Source organism: Homo sapiens, chromosome 3 (genome assembly GCF_000001405.40).
Source record: "Homo sapiens chromosome 3, GRCh38.p14 Primary Assembly".
Classification (NCBI taxonomy): Eukaryota; Metazoa; Chordata; class Mammalia; order Primates; family Hominidae; genus Homo; species Homo sapiens.
In genome coordinates this window covers 142,301,956-142,323,406 of record NC_000003.12, presented here as the reverse complement: position 1 = coordinate 142,323,406, position 21,451 = coordinate 142,301,956, and the positions used below count along the sequence as shown (strand labels likewise).

Below are 21,451 nucleotides of genomic sequence, written 5' to 3'. Positions count from 1 at the left end.
AGTTCGAGACCAGCCTGGCCAGTGTGGTGAAACCCCATCTCTACTAAAAATACAAAAATTAGCCAGGTATGGTGGCGCATGACAGAGCAAAACTCCATTTAAAAAAAAAAAACAAAAAAAAAACCTTAAGAGTGGTATTTTGTTTAAGGTTAGTTGCAGTGTGGAATCTTGCAGTGTGGAATCTGAAACCTTATCAATAAACATTTTTGTCCTCCATATACTTGTGAGAAGGTAGGAAATAAGAAAAAGTAATGCGAAAAAGAGCATAGCACCTCAATATAATCATGCGCTAGATGCGGTGGCTCACACCTGTAAGCCCAACAACTCAGGAGGCTGAGGCAGAAGGATCACTTGAGCTCAGTAGTTTGAGATCAGCCTGGGCAAGACCTCATCTCTTTATTTTTGAGACAGAGTCTCGCTCTGTCACCCAGGCTGGAGTGCAGTGCTGTGATCTCAGCTCACTGCAACCTCCGCCTCCCGGGTTCAAGCGATTATCCTGCCTCAGCCTCCTGAGTAGCTGGGATTACAGGTGCATGCCACCACGCTCGGCTAAGTTATGTATTTTTAATAGAGACGGGGTTTCACCATGTTGGTCAGGCTGGTCTCGAACTCCTTACCTCGTGATCCACCTGCCTCGGCCTCCCAAAGTGCTGGGATTATAGGTGTGAGCCACCGTGCCTGGGCTAGAACTCATCTCTTTAAAAAACAATTTTTTTTTGTTTGTTTGTTTGGGGACAGAACCTCGCTCTGTTCGCCCAGGCTAGAGTGCGGTGGCACGAGCTCACTGCAGCTTCCACCTGCCAGGTTCAAGCGATTCTCCTGCCTCCTGAGTAGCTGGGACTACAGGCACATGCAACCCCACCCGGCTAATTTTTGTATTTTTAGTAGAGACAGGGTTCACCATGTTGGCCAGGCTAGTCTCACGCTCCTGACCTCAGGTGATCTGCCTGCCTCAGCCTCCCAGAGTGCTAAGATTACAGGCATGAGCCACTGCGCCCGACCATCATCTCTAAAAAAACTTTAAAAACAGCTAAGCGTGGTAGTACCCACCTATATTCTCAGCTATTCAGGAGGCTGATGTGAGAGGATTGCTTAAACCTGGTAGTTGGCTACAGTGAGCCTTGATCACACCACTGTACTCCAGCCTGGGCAACAGAGTGAGACCCCAACTCTAAAAAATATATGCATATATAATTATGAAAATTTGATCTCAGTGCCTCCCTGAAAGGGTCTCGCAGACCCTCAGCTATCCCCAGACTGCACTTTGAGACCTACTGACCGCAAGAAAGTTGTTTTATTCTCTTTATATCCAGTTCTTGATACCCTCTAACCTAAAACAGAAAGCAGTTTTTTCTAAAATCAGGGCCAAGGCAAAGATGCCTGCTTTCACCACTTCTATTCAGCACAGTAATGGAAGTTCTGTCCAGAGCAATTAAGTAAGAAAAATAAATAAATAAAAGACATCTAAATTAGAAGGGAAGAAGTAAAGCAGTATCCGTTTGCAGATGATATGATCTTATAGTAGAAAACTCTAAAGATTCCACAAAAAATCCCAACTAATAAATGCAGCAAAGTTGCAGAATACAAAATCAACTGACAAAAATCAGTTGTATTTTTATACACTAACAGTGAAAAATCTGAAAAGGAAATTAAGAAAACTATGATAGTATCAAAACTATTTATAGTATCAAAAATAATAAAATGCTAAGGAATAAAAGTAACAAAGGAAATGATGTGCTTATACACCGAAAACTACAAAATGTTGCTGAAAGACATGTAAAAAGACAAATAGAAACACACTCTGTTCGTGGATTGGAAAACTTAATATTGTTATGATCTCAGTACTACCCACAGCAGTCTACAAATTCAGTGCACCTCCTATCAAAATCCCAATGGAATAGAACAGAGAGCCCAAAAATAAACCCTTGCATACATGTTCAAAATATTTTTTGACAAGTTGTCAAGACCATTCAGTTGGAAGTGGATAGCCGGGCGCAATGGCTCATGCCTGTAATCCCAGCATTTTCAGAGGCCGAGGCAGGCGGATCGCTTGAGGTCAGGAGTTCAAGACCAGCCTGGCCAACATGGTGAAACCCTGTCTCTACTAAAAATACAAAGAATTAGCTGGACATGATGGCATGCACCTGTAATCACAGCTACTTGGGAGCCTGAGGCAGGAGAATTGCTTGAACCTGGGAGGCAGAAGTTGCAGTGAGCCAAGATCACGCTACTGCATTCCAGCCTGGGCAACAGAGAACAGAGTGAGACTCCATCTCAAAAAAAAAAAAAAAAAAAAAAAAAGGAAGTGGATGATCTTTCAGCAAATGGTGCTGGGTAACTGGATATTCACATTTTAAAGAATGAAGTTAGCCCTTACCTAACTAACATAATATATGAAAATTAACTCAAAATGGATCAAATACCTAAATGTAAGATAAGGCCTAAAACTATAAAAGTCTTAGAAGAAAACTTAGGGCAGAAGCTTCACAACATTGGATTTGGCAGTGATTTCTGGGATATGACACCAGAAGCACAGGCCACGAAAGAAAACATGGACAAATTGTACTTCATGGAAATTTTAACATTTTGTGCATCAAAAGACAATAACAAGAGTGAAAAAGGTAACTCATAGAATAAGAGAAAATACTTCCTAATGATATATCTGATAAAAAATATCTGGAATATATAGAGAACTCATGAAATGAGTCTTAAATGTAAGACCTGAAACAATAAAAATCCTATAAGAAACCCTAGGAAAAACTTCTGGACATTGGCCTAGACAAAGATTTATGACTAATCTCAAAAGCAAATGCAACAAAAACAAAAATAGACAAATGGGACTCAACTAAACTAAAAAGCTCCTGCACAGCAAAAGAAATAATCAACAGAGTAAACAGACAATCTACAGTATTTGCAAACTATGTATCTGACAAAGGACTAAATATCCAGAATCTATAAGGAACTCAACAAGTAAAAAACAGATAACCCCATTAAAAACAGGCAAAGGTCATGAGTGAACATTTCTCAAAAGAAGACATCTCAAGGGGTTGCCAACAAACATGAAAGAAATGTTCAACATTACTAATTACCAGAGAAGTGCAGATTTTAGGGCCACAATGAGATACCATCTCATACCAGGCGGAATGGCTATTATTAAAAAAGTCAAAAAACAGATTTTGGCAAGGATGTAGCAAAAAGGGAGTGTTTATACACTGTTGGTTGGAATATAAATTAGTACAACCTGTATGAAAACAGTATGGTGGTTTCTCAAAGAGCTAAAAATAGAACTATGATTTAATCCAGCAATCTCACTTCTGGGTATCTACCCCAGGAAAAGAAATCATTATATAAAAAGTATGCCTGCATTTGTATGTTTATCACAGCACTATTCACAGTAGCAAAGATAGGGAATCAACCTAAGTGTCCATCAGTGGATGATTGGATAAAGAAAATGTGTGTGGGTATGTGTGCGTGCGTGTGTGTGTGTGTGTGTGTGTGTATACACACACCATGTACTACTATCCTATACACACACCATGTAATATTATCCAGCCATAAAAAGAATGAAATCACGTATCTTGTAGCAACATTAATGGAACTGGGGGCCATTATCCTAAGTGAAATAATTCAGAAACAGAAAGTCAGATATCACATGTTCTCATTTATAAATGGGAACTAAACATGGACATACAGAGTGGAATAATAGACATTAGAGATTTCAAAAGATGGGATGGTTAAGAGGGATGTGAGGGATGAGAAATGACCTACTGGGTACAATGTATACTAATCAGGCAATGGGTACACTAAAGTCCATACTTCACCACTATGTAGTATATCCATGTAACTACATTTGTACTCCCAAATCTATTTTTTAAAAAAAATTAAGGTAAACCAAAACAAAACAAGCTTTTTTATAAAACAGAAAATTAAAGTATAATATAGTTATAATTTAAATATGAGTAGAAAACACATCAGAATCTCTGAGTCTTTTATATTTTGGCAATTAACTTATCTTACCAAAATATCTCCTAAGTAAAGGATGGTATAAACATGAGTCAGCAAATTTTTTCTGTGAAGAGTCAGATAGTAAATATTTTAGGCCTTGTGGGCCAGATAGTCTCTATCACAGCTTCCGAACTCTACAGTTACAGTGTGAAAGTAGCCATTAGAATGGATGTGGCCATGTTCCAGTAAGACTTTATTTACAAAAAGAGGCAGAACTCCATAGTTTGTCAACTCCTTGTATAAAGAAAACAGTTTTGCTGGCTTTCATTTGCATTAGGTGGATTGACCCTTCAGCCAGCTTAGAAAGCTTTTTATTTTGTAAACACTGAAAAAGATAAGGCAACAACTCGAAAATTTTTGCCTGGCAATTGAAAACTTGAACTGAAAGCCCTTTTTTAAATTCTTGATAAAATTATTTTACTTGTTTAGACTAAACTTTGGGAGAGGTCAACTTCCTAGACAGAGAATTTCATAGACATATATATTCTCTTTTTTTAGACAATGACCGTTTGCCAAGTAAAATTATCTAATGGCTTACTGGTACATGGGCCACAGTGCCACTCTGAAAATGAAGCCAAAGAGAAAGCTGCACTTTTTGCTTTACAACAGTTGGTAAGAACTGTCCATGACTTCTCTATTAAAATTTTTATTAGTCCCTATAGAAAGCTTGTATTGCATTGTCTTGTAACTTTTAAATACTTCCACAGGGCTCCTTAGGCATGAATTTCCCTTTGCCTTCACAAGTATTTGCAAATTATCCTTCAGCTGTACCACCTGGAACCATTCCTCCAGCCTTTCCCCCACCTACTGGTAAGATATTTTTCATTTATAAGTATTTGTCATTGAGTTGTTATTTTTACTAAGCTCTTTTAAGAAATCAAGAATGTACTCAAATATCTAGGAATGTAAGAAGAAATTGTGAGAAAGCCTAAAGCCACAGCCTGCAGATTCATCTAAAAGTACCATTCTCTTCCTACAGCCTCTAGTATGGCTAGAGTAGTAAGAAGAGGTTGAGTGGGCAGGCCCTTATTCTCCAGTAGCTGCTAACAGATAAATTTGTGTTTAAGTTAGACATCAAAAGGTAAAAAAAAAATCATGTAATTTCTTCAGGACTGTATTTTCTTATTGGTAGTAGACTATGTCCAAAATCTTGTTGAGACTAACATTTTGTAATTCTAAATCTTAAGTTCTGAGATTTTCTAAATCACTCAGCTTTTTTTCCTAATAGCAGTTGGCTTCCCTTTATCTTAATTATTATTGTTTTAAAGCCAATAATTTATTTAAGTTTAGAAAATCCCTTTTCTGCATCTACTGCCAGGTAATACTCCAGGAATTCTAAATATCTAATGCTTACAATAAGCATTAGAAAGGTGAATAATACTGATTAAATTTATGACATGCAGTTGTCTCTTCTCATTAAACTGAATAATAAAGGATTTCAAAAGTGTAAATCTGTGAGGATGAAGACAGAAGAAATATCAGCAGATTAGAGATTTGAAAAGAGTTTGTGTTGAGAAAAACAACTGCAGAAGTAACCATTTTAGCAGAGCAAGTTTAAAAGCTACAAGCTAAAGTGCCTGTAGAAGAGACTACAAATGAGCATAAGTAGATTGTCCCTCGCCGTTCCCAAGAGGTTCAGATCTTGGAGGCATCAGAAACTATTAGAGAAGATAAAGAGGAGGCATGTGCTGAAAAGAGAGGGATTGGTTGAAAGTCTATGTGCAAAGTGGTGAGACTACCCCCGTCTTCCCTCTGTGACGCAGCCAGACCTCTGCAAGCAAAAAACTGGAGGTGTGTTTTCTAGAGGAGCTATCTAGATATGGGAATACCAGGCAGAGAAGAGAATGGAATGTGAGACTGAAAACACAGAGATTAAGGAAAAGTTCCCTTTTTCTCATCCTGTTCTCAGATTGTAGCCAGTCATACCCTTCTCCCCAGATAGGAAATTGGAAGATGAAAAAAGAATAGAGTACAGGTAAAATTGTTAAGTAAAATTTTAAAATTTAGTAGATAAAGTCCTAGCAAAGCCAAGGAAGATAAAAGCTGTAAAATAAGAAAGAACAGAGACTTAGTGCACAGATCCAGCTCCCACCTTATTAGAGTTCCAGAAAAAGAGATCAGAGATGAAGGAAAGGAGGTAAGTGTCAAAAAAATAATAAACTTTTCTAAAACAAAACGATATGCATCTCTAAAAGAGCCACCAAATGTTGAGCACAATGAATAAAGACACAGATTATCTTCAGATTCTGAATACTAGTGATAAAAAGGTGGTCCTAAGAGATTCAGAGAAGAAATATGTACAAAGATCAAAAATTAGAATGGTACTGCACTATTGAACAGTGCCTAGAAGCCAGAAAGCATTGAATACCTCAAAACCCTGAGGCAGAATGAGTTTCATCCTAATTTCTCTGTATAGCCAAACTGTGAATCTAATACAAAGGAGACACAAAGATATTTTCAGATACGCAAATTTATTTCTTATGTACCCTTTTTTTTTTAAGCAACAAGGTCTCACTATGTTGCCCAGGCTGGTCTCAAAGTCGTGGACTCAAGCAGTCCTCCCACTTCAGCCTTCAGAAATGCTGAGATTACAAGCATGAGCCTTCATGCCTTGCCTACCCTTTCTTAAGAAGCTACTGAATTACATGCTCCAACAAAACAAAGCAGTAGTTTAAAAGAAAATTAGGAAACCAAAATAACAAATTGTAGATGTAGTATAGTTATACAATGAATGGAAATCCCAGGATGCCAGCTGCTCAGTGGGTCTAGAAAGTGACTAGTCCCAACTAGACAGGCAGAGGGAAGTCTTGGCAGTAAGGAAGGTTATTAATAGATGAGCAATGGGAAAACATTAAGGATGGGTATAGAGAAGACTAAGCAGCTTTTATTATATTTTTCCTAAAGAATTGATATGAGCAAGACTAAGCTTTTAAAAAATAATTATTAGCCTGGGCAACATGGCAAAACAGCCTGGGCAACATGATAAAACCCCATCTCTAATCTACAAAAAATACAAAGGTAGCCAGACATGGTGGCATGCACCTATAGTCCCAGCTACTTGGGAGGCTGAGGCGGGAGGATAACTTGAGCCTGGGAGGTCAAGGCTGCAGTGAGCTGTGATCGTGCCACTGCACCCCAGCCTGGGTGACAGAATGAGACCTGTCTCAAAAAAAAAAAAAAAAAAAAAGAAGATAATGACTAACTCAAGTAAAAACAAAAGGTTTTACAAGAAAATACATAATGGATCTCTTTTTACAAGAAAAGAAACATTATCAGAGTACCCAGCTTGGCTCTGCAGTGATAATATTTACATAGCCACATACCACAAATAGATAACACTGTTTGTATATTTAAACAAATGATGTAATGTACTTACATTGGGAGTACAGGGTAAGTAGTGAGGGGTAATGCAAAAAAACTAAATTTTGTTCTATCTGAATAGGAAGTCAGTAGACCTAAAAATGCCTAAAATTAATAAGTTATTAACAAGTAGCATAAGCAAATAATTGAACAGTGTGGAAATATCTAAAACAGTTAAACCTGGAGTAGAACAGATGTCTGCTGTTTTCTGTTGAAAATCTTTTTTAGGCCGGGCGCAGTGGCTCACGCTTGTAATCCCAGCAGTTTGGGAGGCAGAGGTGGGTGGATCACTTGAGGTCAGGAGTTCGAGACCAGCCTAACCAACATGGTGAAACCGTCTCTACTAAAAATACGAAAATTCTAAAATTAGCTGGGTGTGATGGCACACACCTGTAGTCCCAGCTACTCAGGAGGCTGAGGCAGGAGAATCGCTTGAACCCAGGAGGCAGAGGTTGCAGTGAGCTGAAATCGCGCCACTACACTCCAGCCTGGGTGACAGAGCTAGACTCTGTCTCAAAAAAAAAAAAAAGAAAAAGAAAATCTTTTTTAGTACAATGTATATGTAGTATTTTGATTTTTTTTAATGTAATTTGTCTAAGGTCATTAAGTTACTATCTAGCAGAACTGGCATCAAAATCCAAGTCTGAGCCAGGCTTGTTGACTCATGCTTGTAATCCCAGCACTTTGGAAGGCCTATCTCAAGAAAACCCCCAAAGGCCCAAACCAAACCAAAACAAAACATTGTTTATATAGTCAAAGGAATGCCAGTGCAGTACAGTAACAAAAGCATGGGCTTTGAAAACAGATAGCTGAGTGTGGTGGCTCATACCTGTAATCCCAGCACTTTGAGAGGCTGAGCTCAGAGGATCACTAGAGCCATGAGTTCAAGACCAGCCTAGGCAACATAGGGAGACCTTACTGCTACAAAAGATGGAAAAAATTAGCTGAGTGTGGTGCCATGTGCCTGTAGTTCCAGCTATTCAGGAGGTTGAGGCAGGAGGATCAGTTGAGCCTGTGAGGCGGAGGCTGCAGTGAGCCAAGATTGTGCCACTGCACTGTAGCCTAGGTCTCAAAAAAAAAAAAAAAAAAACAGACGACAGACTTGGATTTTTTTTTTTTTTTTTTTTTTTTTTTTTTGAGACAGAGTCCCACTCTGTCACCCAGGCTGGAGTGCAGTGGCATGATCAGGGCTCACTGCAGCCTCAACCTCCTTGGGCTCAGTTGATCCTCCTACCTCTGCCTCCCAAGTGGCTGGGACTATGGCACCCACCACCACACCTGGCTAATTTTTGTATCTTTTTATAGAGACAGGGTTTCACCATGTTGTTCAGGCTTGTCTCAAACTCTGGGCTCAAGGGATCCGCCAGCCTCGGCATCCCAAAGTGCCAGGATTACAGGCATGAGCCACTGTGCCCAGCCAACAATGTTTTAGTCATAAAGTTTTCATGACGTAATGGATCTGATGTTTTTATATAGCTCAATGTAATAGTATCACCGTAACTTATAAAATCTAATTTGACTGCTGCTGCTTCACATTCAAAAATGAATACAGTAGCTATGTATAGATTAATTTTAAGTAATTAGTATGTGTAGGGTACCTAAAAGTTTGCACACAAACTTCTCTAAAGAAGAATTGTCTTATGATCATATATTTTTTAAGAGGAATGTTTGTTTTCCCCATTTATTATTGATATTTTAACCTTTTTCATGTTGATTAGTTTATTCATACCTACTAATAATTTTAAGGTTATAATTGGAATGCTTTTGGTCCTATAAAGGTGTTCTCCAAATATTCCAGTTAAAATATGTAAATACATAAATGCCAAGATATTTGGAGGTTAATCAGCAGAGAACAACTTAAGCATTAGATTAACATTTTAAAGTTATTTTGTAAATTTCTATTTTATGGTATAAAAAAATTTGTGATGTAAAATGTCCCAGTTGAGGAATATGTATTTCATATTTGTAACAGTGATTTATTGGGGAAATTACGGAGTTGACCATTGTATAAGATTAGCATAGCATCTTTTAAATAGACCTTCTTAGCATTATGACTCCCACCAAAGTTGCTCGTAGATAGTTTCAAGACCTAATTTTCTACTTTTCTTAGGTCTCACTCTGTCAACCAAGTTAAAGTGCAGTGACATGATCTTGGCTCACTGCAACCTCCACCTCCCAGGCTCAAGCAATCCTCACACATTAGCCTCCTGAGTAGCTGGGACCACAGCCACGTGCCATGCCTGGCATCCCAAAGTGCTGGGATTACAGGCATGAGCCACTGCGCCTCGCCTAATTTTCTGAATCTTATTAGTGTTTTTCATATTAAAAGTTTTCTTCTTCTTAGAATTTGTGTATGTGTATTTCATAACACTGAAATATATTATGATTCTTCTCTCCTAACCTAAAAGTGTCTTAAATAGCTGAACTTTAATTAAGCTATACTGTTTTACAGGTCTGGCTGCTTTTTATCTCTATGAAAAGAATATTTGAACATAGTGCATATCTTCTTCAGTGGCGTGTGCTGGTGCCTTGAATGTCACTGTTTAATGTAGTTTTCAAATGCTCTACTGGTACAGGCTGTCTCCATAAGAATCGCCTATGGAGCTTAATACAAACTCCAGGGCCCCTCAGAGTCTGGCTTACTAGGTCTGAGGCCCTGTCCAGGAATCTGTATTTCACAAACTCCTCAAGTGATTCAGATATACAAATTAGATTTGGCACCCATTGGTTCATTACATTTTTAATAAACAAACTGTAAGTGAAAAAAGGCCTTGACTTCAAATATTAAAATAGAGAAAAGAAAGATTCTACCTGTCATATGAAGGTGATGAGATTTCAGGACTTGAGGTTTTTTGGTTTTTTTGTAGGCTGGGATCACTATGGAAGCAACTATGCATTGGGGGCAGGTGAGATCCTTAAGATTTCTCTATTTGTGCCCAAGCTTTTCTCTCACAAGGGACAATTTCATGACCCTTTTATTTTTTTTATAAATATAATTGCAAATATTCCTAAAACTTGTATCAGCATATGATATTAGTAGTAGTATTCTCCTTTTCAGGCCAGTATAATGATAAATTCATTTGTGTAGATAGTCCACACAGTCCTAGGAAAGGATCCTGAGGTTGAATGTTGTAAGGAAGAGTAATTATAGGTGAAGTAAGTGTAGGCCTTTTGCCAAAGGGGAAAAAAAAAGCCCAAAAAGGCTAGCAGAAGGAGGTCTCAAATTTCAGAGCTTTGATGATACCATTTTACTAAAAGAAAAATTTTCCTTGGTTTTTAACAGCTAATATAATGCCTTCGTCGTCTCATCTCTTTGGCTCAATGCCATGGGGACCATCGGTGCCAGTTCCTGGGAAGCCCTTCCATCATACTTTATATTCTGGGACCATGCCCATGGCTGGGGGAATACCAGGGGGTGTGCACAATCAGTTTATACCTCTGCAGGTAAGAAAAATAATATTTTTAAGATAATTATTTGTTTAATGCTGAAAGACTATTGATAAACATTTTTTTATTCAGTTTACTTATTCAGTGCCAACTAGAAGTTCAGTACTAGTGTGGGTAGTAAGAAGGCAATGGTTGACAAGTCTGACCTGTCTCTGCTCTCTGAGTTTGTGTTCTAATAAACAATAATTGTACCAAGTAATATGCTATTCTAATACAGATTGATTAAAATCAGTAATATAAATAAAATCACAAATATTTTCAAAATAACCTATGAAGAATTGTATTTTTATTATTATTATTATTATTCATTTTTTTGGAGAAGGATCTCACTCTGTAGCCCAGGCTGGAACGCAGCCCATGCACAATCTCGACTCCCTGCAGCCTTGACTTCCTGGGCTCAAGTGATCCTCCCATCTTAGACTCCCGAGTACCTGAGGCTACAGGCATGTGCCACCATGCCTGTCTAGTTTTTGTAATTTTTTTGTAGAGATGGGGTTTTGCCATGGTCTCGAACCCTAGGTCTCTACCGATCCACCTGCCTCGGCCTCCCAAAGTGCTGATATTACAGTTGTGAGCCACTGCACACAGCCCAAGAATTTTAAATATTTTGTTTGTAACTAAGTCCTTTGAATTACTAAAGTCTTACTTGGCAATTATAAGTGGAAGTCACAGATCAGCTGTGATTGACAAATATTAACAGCATGCATGGTTTATGGTAATTTCCAACACTAGCTAATTTTTTGCCTACATTATTAATTAGTGATGCTTTTATTCCTAACAGGTTACTAAAAAAAGGGTTGCAAACAAAAAGAACTTTGAGAATAAGGAAGCCCAGAGTTCTCAAGCCACTCCAGTTCAGACTAGCCAGCCAGATTCTTCCAACATTGTCAAAGTAAGTCCACGGGAGAGCTCATCAGCTTCTTTGAAGTCCTCTCCGATTGCTCAACCTGCATCTTCTTTTCAAGTTGAAACTGCCTCTCAAGGCCATAGTATATCTCACCATAAGTCAACACCAATCTCTTCTTCAAGAAGAAAATCAAGAAAACTGGCTGTTAATTTTGGTGTTTCTAAACCTTCTGAGTAAATTTGGCTCTTAGAATTAAGTTAATTTCTTCTCTTTCCATCTACCTTTTTATAAATACATATCTATGTCTCATAAAAATTAGAATGTACTATTTTAAAATAATATGTGTAAATTGAAATTTTTTTCATTTTTAAGTTATCAGGCACTTTTCATGCTGTTTAAAAGACTGTGTATCAAATTGTGCACTTTAAGTATGTGCAGTTTGTTGTATGTCAATTATACCTCAATAAATCTGTAATAAAAAACTAAATTAAACCTTGCATTAAAATAATATCACAGTATCAGTGGACTAAACATTAAAATGTACCACTCTAATCATTGGCCTCATGATTGAAGCATCCTGAACTATGAATTAGACATCAGTTAGCAATAATAAGCATTTTTTACACTATCATTGAGGAATAATTACATGGAGCATGAAATTTGGGCCTCCAGTATAACTTACTGAATGTGGATTTTATTTCTCTTTTTAATGATGTAAGAAAATTGTCAGGAGAATGGCTCTTATTTATGTGTGTTTTAACTTATGCTTTGTTGCCTCTGAGGGTCTTTAGACCTGCTGTGAAAGGATCACATTTGTTGTGGTGCTGCCAGTTTTGCTTTATTCTAAATTTTGTACCAAAGCAACTTTAGAATAATCAGAATATTTCATCTAACTGCTTAGAACTATAAATAGCATTCTAAATTTGAGTAAATACAATTTTTTAGGTTACTCAAGAACCAGCATTAGTAATTTCTAGTAAAATTGTTTCAAAATCTACAGGGTACAATGATTACAAATTAATCTTCTAACAAAATAAAATATGAAATATTAGTCATGTTAATTAATAAACTGTATTATTTTGTATAGCTTTTTATTTGCTTACCTGACATTTTATGAGAGCTTCATAGTTGGTCGGTATGTAGTGCTTCTTGGGACTGAAGAAATTCTAATTGTTGTTTAAGTTCCAAGGTGTGCTACAATATAGGAGGCACAGTCATCAGTTTGTGACATACATTATTTACTGCCTATTTCATTCTGATTCTATATTTTTAGCTTTATGCTGAACTGTTCAATGATGCTGGGATTCTCTCTTTGCATGTCATATGTGAATGTGTGGTTCAAGCTGTAACTGTTGAAATTATTTTAGAATTTATGACGATTTCTCAGCAGGGCCTATGTTTATATATATATATATATTTATTCTTTAGTTTTTGTGATATGCTTATATTTTTAAGGAAGTAAGTTATAGCATACTTTTTTAAAAGTAGGAACCACAATCTTTATATGGAGCAGCTTGTTATATCTGATTTTCATGTAACTCATTGGAAACTCTGCCATGACTCTTAAAGTAGTCTTACTTGTTTTTTAAAATGCTGGTATTAAACTAAATGGACTCCTTTCACTAACTGCTGATTTCAGAGTTTAAATGTTAGCAGGATATTTGTGTATTAGCAGTGCCTTCAGTATAAGAGAGAAATATTCATTATCTGTCATTTATCATAGTCGTATAAGTTTCCATGATTTTATTTTCTGTTATTTTCATAAGTTCAGATGTTTATCAGTTCCCAACATTGTTTCTTTATCTGTAGTGGGATCTTGAGTAATGAGGCTCAAGTAAATCCTCAATGTGTATAATTATTGCCTCATAAACTCTCTCTTTGTTTTTAAAGGAAACATCTATTATGGTAATACAAAGAAAAGTTAAATTGTGACAGTAATGTTATATTAACCTCTTCCTACTTTAAAGTGTGAAATGTTTCACCTCAGCTGTACAAACTCCAGCATTGAGAATTTGCCTCACTCATTACTCCTGTGTGACAGTTATATAAATAGCATGCAGCTCACATCTGTTTTAGAGCATAGAAGAAGCGGCACCTGCCATCTTCTGAAAACTCCAAAGGGAAATTTCAGTAGACATAGTGCACTAAACCCATAAGGATACTTGACCAATATTTGAGCACAGCAAGCTGACAGTTCTATACAGATAGGCAGTGAAAGAGTTTTATTTTCCAGCCAGGCGCAGTGGCTCAAATCCCAGCACTTCGGGAGGCTAAGGCAGGCGGATCACTTGAGGTCCGGAGTTCCAGACAAGCCTGGCCAACATGATGAAGCCCTGTCTCTACTAAAAATACAAAAATTAGCCGGGCGTGATGGCACATGCCTTTAGTCCCAGCTACTCGGGAGGCTGAGGCATGAGAATCATTTGAACCCGCGAGGCAGAGTCTGCAGTGAGCCGAGATTGCACCACTGCACTCCAGCCTGGAGAGCAGAGCAAGACTCTGTCTCAAAAAAAAGAAAAAAGTTTTATTATCCTTACTTTTTTTTTAACATTATTATTCTAAAGGTCAAAACTGAGAAGAGATTAAGATAGGAGAGAGCTCCATAATGGCTGGATAGTGGTCAGGCATTCTCTATTCTTTTCCCCCTGTAGACCCATTCTAAATGTGGGCCTGAGGTCAATGGGAGATGTGCCCTCCCTATGGAGGATGTAAGAAGCAGAGGCCATTTCTGCCCCATGTTGAGGAAACAATCTGTTGATAGACCTGGAATTTAGAGTATATCTGAAAAGCAGTTGGACTTCAAGAAATTTAAAATTCTCTCTTTGAGATGGGGTGGACTAAGACCACCCCCAAAGTTTAAAAATATGCTCATTCAACTTGAATCTTCTGAGGACTTTTTGTGAAAATGGTGGACTGTTTAGGGCATAGGACAGATTCCCCAAATTGCTTTATGCTTCCACATAACTAGAGCACTTCAATCTATTTAAGCCTTTGTCTCCTAACTGAAACATTATTTCTAAATATTTCTATTCAATAAGTTTTTTCTTTTTTGAGCAACTTAAGTGAATTTTGAAGATTGCTCCTTCCAGTCTCGTTCCTTTTCACATTTTCCTGCATTACCTAATAATTACCTCAGCGTTAGAATTTGAATGTATTAATTGATTTAAACATCATGTAGACTAAAGTCTTAAACATCTAAGACTCAGTTGTAGTTGCAGAAAAAAATTAAAGTCACCTCTACTGAACCTTGGTTTCAATTTAAGATTTTTCTTGCTTTTCAAAGGGGTAACTAATAAAGATTGAAGGGTTTTTTTCCCGATTGGTGGAGGAATGAAGAACTATTGATGCAAGTTTTTTTATTGTTTCTTTCTATGATCAGGTACCTGCTTTCATTTTAGACTGCTACTTCCAAACTAAGCTAGATTCTTGGTTTTAATGAGAGGAGGCAGAGAGAGGGAGGCAGATGGAAGAAGAAAAACAGTTAAATAAGACATACCCAGTCACTGCATTTTTGGACTATACCGTATCTTTCTAGCACAAGGAAATAGATAAACTGTAAGGTCTTTTTTACTCACTTTTTATTTATGTGTTCTATTTGTGTTAGTCATAACTGTTTATAGTGGTTGTCTAATTTTTACTTTTATTATATGAGATAGAGCTGTGCAGATCTTCACTCAAGTTAGTTCTGTCACGCTTCTTCCCATTATTTAGAGCACAGTTTTTTAAAGCAACTGTACAATTTCTCAGCCTTATGAGCTTGCTGTATTTCTTGGTATCATGTTGCTTCCAAATTTTGTTTTTACTGTAGAAGACAATTAATTTATTGTAGAGAAGTGGCTGTGAAAGTCGTTCTCTGTCTTTAAAAATCAATTGCAGAAGTTCATTTGTCATTTTTCTAGAGATAAATTATAGTACTCAAACTGGCAGTGCTCAGTATATACATTTTGTAAGCTTTGTCAGTGAAACCATCAGTTTTGCAGGAGCTTCCTTTCCTAGTCAAGATAAAGCTTAAAATTCCAGAAATTAATGTCGTTCGGACTGACTTTATTCATATTTCCATCAAACTTCTCCAATACAGTAAGAGATAGTGTTGAACCAGCATCAAGTCTCCAGAAACATGGCAGAGCAGACAGGCCGTTAAGTTTCACAGACATCATAGATCCTTTTCTTAAAGAAGAAAAACATGTATAAAATAGTTTTAGTAGTCCAAAATGTCAACTATCTGTAGCTGCTTTTGTGTGTGTGTCAGTGAACAAATAATAATGCCTTGCTCAATCAATGCATTCAGCCATCTCAAGTGCAATTTGTGAAGGAGACTATGGTTTCCAAAAGATACATTTTTTTACAAAGTTAAACCTGTAAAAAGTCTTTTTTTTTTTCCCTCCAGCCGTACACCAACTGCACTTGGTTGTTTCAGCAGTTGGTATACTATTAAATTGTCCAGGCCAAATAGGTTTCTGTAGCTGTTTTAGTAATTTGAAGCCAAATTCTCATGCTGTTTCTCATTAAAAAGAATGAGAATTTGGTCCATAGTTAGCTTTAAGTTCTCTCTTCCTTTCTTTCCCTTACAGTTAAGGGTTTGGTGGGGGATGGGGAGGTTGTTTTCGTTTTTTGGATTTTTTTGTCTTTTGGCTTTAAGTATCATATTTTCTTTTGCCTGTATCCAACTGCTTCTTTGAGTATTTTCATCTAGTTTAATGTGAGTAATAGATGCTGTGCTGTCATTGAAGTGTTCAACATTTTGTTCATTTAAACAAAAGTGTAATTCATACATATATAGATACATATCTTAATTGATTTCTCAACTATTTTATAAGTAACTGGAATTTTTCATTAGATCTTATACAGAGAAGTATTTTATTAAAAATTCAAAAGGGAAGACTTTTATGTGCTCATTTTGTAATTTTTGATTTTAAATATCTTTACATTGTCTGCCAATTAAAGTGTTTTAAACTTGCATTGGAATGGACTCCGAATGTATTTTTGTGGTGTTACGTTATCCGTAGATTTCTAGCATGAAGTTAGCCTCACGATGCTGTGCAAAGGATTTTAAAATATGAGAGTCACTGAAAGAGTTTAAACATCTGTTCATGTTAAATGCTCTATGGATTTTAATTAAAGACTTGAGAATGATTTTATAAGCTGTTTGTTCTTTTATTACTATGCTGATATCAAAAGTAGAAACATTAGTCTTTTTGTTTGTTTGTTTTTGAGACAGAATCTTGCTCTGTCGCCCAGGCTGGAGATCTCGGCTCCCTGCAGCCTTCACCTCCCAGGTTCAAGCGATTCTCTTGCCTCAGCCTCCTGAGTACCTGGGACTACAGGCACATGCCACCATGCCTGGCCAATTTTTTAATTTTTTTTATTTCCATAGGTTATTGGGGAACAGGTGGTGTTTGGTTACATGAATAAGTTATTTAGTGGTGATTTGTGAGATTTTGGTTCACCCATCACCTGAGCAGTATACACTGCACACAATTTGTAGTCTTTTATCCCTTGGCCCCTTCCCACACTTTCCCTCTGACCCCCAAAATCCATTGTGTCATTCTTATGCGTTTGCATCCTCATAGCTTAGCTCCCACTTATGAGTGAGAACATACAATGTTTGGTTTTTCATTCCTGGGTTACTTCACTTAGAATAATAGTCTCCATTCTCATCCAGGTTGCTGCAAATGCCACTAATTCATTCCTTTTTATAGCTGAGTAGTATTCCACTATACACTATGTGTGTGTGTGTGTATGTACATATATGTCTGTATGTACATATATGTCTGTACATATATGTCTGTATGTACATATATGTCTGTACATATATGTCTGTCTGTACACACACACCACAGTTTATCTACTTGTTGATTGATGGGCATTTGGTTTGGTTCCACTGTTTTTTTGTTTGTTTGTTTTTTGAGATGGAGTTTTTGCTCTTATCGCCCAGGCTGGAGTACAATGGCGTGATCTCGGCTCACTGCAACCTCCGCCTTCCAGGTTCAAGCAATTCTCCTGCGTCAGCCTCCCCAGTAGCTGGGATTACAGGCACATGCCACCACGCCCAGCTAATTTTTGTATTTTTAGTAGAGACAGGGTTTCACAATGTTGGCCAGGCTGGTCTTGAACTCCTGACCTCAGGTGATCCACCTGCTTCAGCCTCCCAAAGTGCTGGGATTACAGGCATGAGCTACCACACCCAGTCTGGTTCCACGTTTTTGCAATTGCGAATTGTGATGCTATAAATATATGTTCAAGTATCTTTTTCATATAATGACTTCCTTTCCTCTGGGTAGATACCCAATAGTGGGATTGCTGGATCAAATAGTAGTTCTACATTTAGTTCTTTAAGGAATCTCCACACTGTTTTCCATAGTGGCTGTAGTAGTTTACATTCCCACCAACAGTGTAGAAGTGTTCCCTGTTCACCACATCCACACCAACATATATCATTTTTTGTTCTTTTTTTTTTTAACTAGGGCCATTCTTGCAGGAGTAAGGTGGTATCGCATTGTAGTTTTAAGTTACATTTCCCTGATTGTTAGTGATGTTGAGTATTTTTTCATATCTTTGTTGGCCATTTGTACATCATCTTTTTAGAATTTTCTATTCGTATCCTTAGCCCACTTTTTGATGGGATTGTTTGTTTTTTTCTTGCTGATTTGTTTGAGTTTGTTGTAGATTCTGGATATTAGTCCTTTGTCAATTGTATAGATAGTGAAGATTTTCTCCCACTCTGTGGGTTGCCTGTTTACTCTGCTGACTTCCTTTTGCTGTGCAAAAGCTCTTTCGTTTAATTATGTCCCAGCTATTTATCTTTGTTTTTATTGCATTTTCTTTTGGGTTCTTGGTCATGAAATCCTTGCCTAAGCCAATGTCTAGAAGGTTTTTCCAATGTTATCTTCTAGAATTTTTATAGTTTCAGGTCTTAGATTTAAATTCTTGATCCATCTTGAGTTGATTTTTGCATAAGGTGAGAGACGAGGATCCAGTTTCATTCTCCTACATGTGGCTTGCCAATTATCCCAGCACTATTTGTTGAATAGGGTGTCCTATCACCACTTTATGTTTTTGTTTGCTTTATTGTTGTGGGAAGTCAGGGACCCCAAACAGAGGGACCGGCTGAAGCCATGGCAGAAGAACATGGATTGTGAAGATTTCATGGACATTTATTAGTTCCCCAATTTAATACTTTTATAATTTCTTATGCCTATCTTTACTGCAATCTCTAAACACAAATTGTGAAGATTTCATGGACACTTATCACTTCCCCAATCAATACCCTTGTGATTTCCTAGGCCTGTCTTTAATATCTTAATCCTGTCAGCTGAGGAGGATGTATGTCACCTCAGGACCCTGTGATAATTGCATTAACTGCACAAATTGTAGAACGTGTGTTTGAACAATATGAAATCTGGGCACCTTGAAAAAAGAACAGGATAACAGCAATTGTTTAGGGAATAAGAGAGATAACCTTAAACTGACCGCCGGTGAGCCAGGCGGAAAAGAGCCATGTTTCTCTTCTTTCAAAAGCAAATGGGAGAAATATCGCTGAATTCTTTTTCTTAGCAAGGAACATCCCTGAGAAAGAGAATGCACCCCTGAGGGTGGGTCTGTAAATGGCCCCCTTGGGTGTGGCCGTCTTCTATGGTCGAAACTGTAGGGATGAAATAAACCTCAGTCTCCCATAGCGCTCCCAGGCTTATTAGGAAGAGGAAATTCCCGCCTAATAAATTTTGGTCAGACCGTTTGCTCTCAAAACCCTGTCTCCTGATAAGATGTGATCAATGACAATGGGGCCCGAAACTTCATTAGCAATTTTAATTTCACCCCGGTCCTGTGGTCCTGTGATCTTGCCCTGCCTCCATTTGCCTTGTGATATTCTATTACCTTGTGAAGTACGTGACCTTTGTGACCCACACGCTGTTTGTACACTCCCTCCCCTTTTGAAAGTCCCTCATAAAAACGTGCTGGTTTTGTGGCTTGTGGGGCATCACGGAACCTACCGACATGTGATGTCTCCCCTGGATGCCCAGCTTTAAAATTTCTCCCTTTTGTACTCTGTCCCTTTTTTTCTCAACCTGGCCGATGCTTAGGGAAAATAGAAAAGAACCTATGTGACTATCAGGGCAGGTTCCCTGATACTGTATGGAAGATCAGTTGGCTGCAAGTATTTGGGTTTATTTCTGAGTTCTTTGTTCTGTTCCATTGTTCTACGTGCCTATTTTTATACCAGTACCATGCTGTTTTGGTGACTATGGACTTATACCATAGTTTGAAATCAGGCAATGTGATGCCTCCAGATTTGTTTTTTTTTTGTTTTTGTTTTTTTTAGTTCTATGAAGAATGATGGTAGTATTTTGATGGGGATTGCGCTGAATTTGTAGATTGCTTTTGGCAGTATGGTCATTTTCACAATAATGATTCTACCCATCCATGAACATAGGATGTGTTTCCATTTGTTTGTGTCATCTGTGATTTCTTTCAGCAGTGTTTTGTAGTTTTCCTTGTAGAGGTCTTTCAACTCCTTGGTTAGGTATACTCCTAAGTATTTTATTTTTTTTGCAGCTATTTTGATTCTCAGCTTGGTCGCTGTTGTTGTGTAGAAGAGCAACTGATTTGTGTACATTAATTTCGTATCTGGAAATTTTGCTGAATTCTTTTATCAGTTCTAGCAGCTTTCTGGAGGAGTCTTTGTGGTTTTCTAGGTAAACAATCATATCATCAGCAAACAGCGACAGTTTGATTTCCTCTTTACCAATTTGGATGCCCTTTATTTCTTTCTCTTGTCTGATTGCTCTGGCTAGGAATTCCAGTACTATGTTAAAGGGAAGTTGTGAGAGTTATTCCAATTCTCAGAGGGAATACTTTCAACTCTTCTTTTTTTTTTTTTTTTTTGAGACAGAGTCTTGCTGTCACCCAGGCTGGAGTGCAGTGGTACAATCTTGGCTCACTGCAACCTCCACCTCCCAGGCTCACGCTATTCTCCTGCCTCAGCCTCCTGAGTACCTGAGACTACAGGCATGTGCCACCATGTCGAGCTAATTTGTGTGTGTGTGTGTATTTTTAGTAGAGACAGGGTTTCACCATGTTGGCCAGGATGTTCTCGATCTCTTGACCTCGTGATCTGCCTACCTTGGCCTCCCAAAGTGCTGGGATTACAGGCGTGAGCCACTGCATCCAGCTGCTTTCAGCTTTTTCCCATTCAGTATTATTTTGGCTGTGGGTTTGTCATAGATGGCTTGTATTATGTTGAGGTATGTCCCTTGTATGCCGATTTTTCTGAGAATTTTAATCATAAAGGATGCTGGATTTTGTCTAATGCTTTTTCTGCATCTATTGAGATGATCATGTGATTTTTTGTTTTTAATTCTATTTATGTGGTATATCACATTTATTGACTTGCATATGTTAAACCATTCCTGCATCCCTGGTATGAAACCCACTTGATCATGGTGGATTATCTTTCTGGATACATTGTTGGATTTGGTTAGCTAGTATTTTTGCATTTATGTTCATCAGGGATATTGGTCTATACTGTTCTTTTTTGGTTATGTCCTGTCCTTGGTTTAGGGTGATACTTGCTTCATAGAATGATTTAGGGAGGATTCCCTCTTTCTCTGTCTTGTGGAATAGTGTCAGTAGGATTGGTACCAATTCTCCTTTGAATGTCTGGTAGAATTCTGCTGTGAATCTTGTCCCGTACTTTTTTTTGTTAGTAATTTTATTACCATTTCAATCTTGCTGCTTGTTATTGGTCTGTTCAGGGTATCTAATTCTTCCTGATTTAAGCTAGATGGGTTGTAA

General features: G+C 37.6%; 1 protein-coding gene across 9 annotated transcripts in view; it reads left to right on the top strand.

The window, feature by feature from the left end:
* Positions 1-16,797, top strand: part of XRN1 (5'-3' exoribonuclease 1) — a 141,428-nt gene extending 124,631 nt beyond the window's left edge. For 3 of the 9 annotated variants that reach the window (NM_019001.5, XM_011512919.3, XM_047448358.1), the window contains 5 exons: positions 4,504-4,617; positions 4,713-4,815; positions 10,233-10,271; positions 10,649-10,809; positions 11,594-16,797. In NM_019001.5, the coding sequence (NP_061874.3) occupies positions 4,504-4,617; positions 4,713-4,815; positions 10,233-10,271; positions 10,649-10,809; positions 11,594-11,896 (720 nt within the window). In that variant the 3' untranslated portion in view covers positions 11,897-16,797. The remainder of the gene's footprint in view (positions 1-4,503; positions 4,618-4,712; positions 4,816-10,232; positions 10,272-10,648; positions 10,810-11,593) is intronic. The other 6 variants (XM_047448356.1, XM_011512920.3, XM_017006640.2 and 3 more) reach the window with 3 other exon arrangements.
* Positions 16,798-21,451: the final 4,654 nt, after the last annotated feature.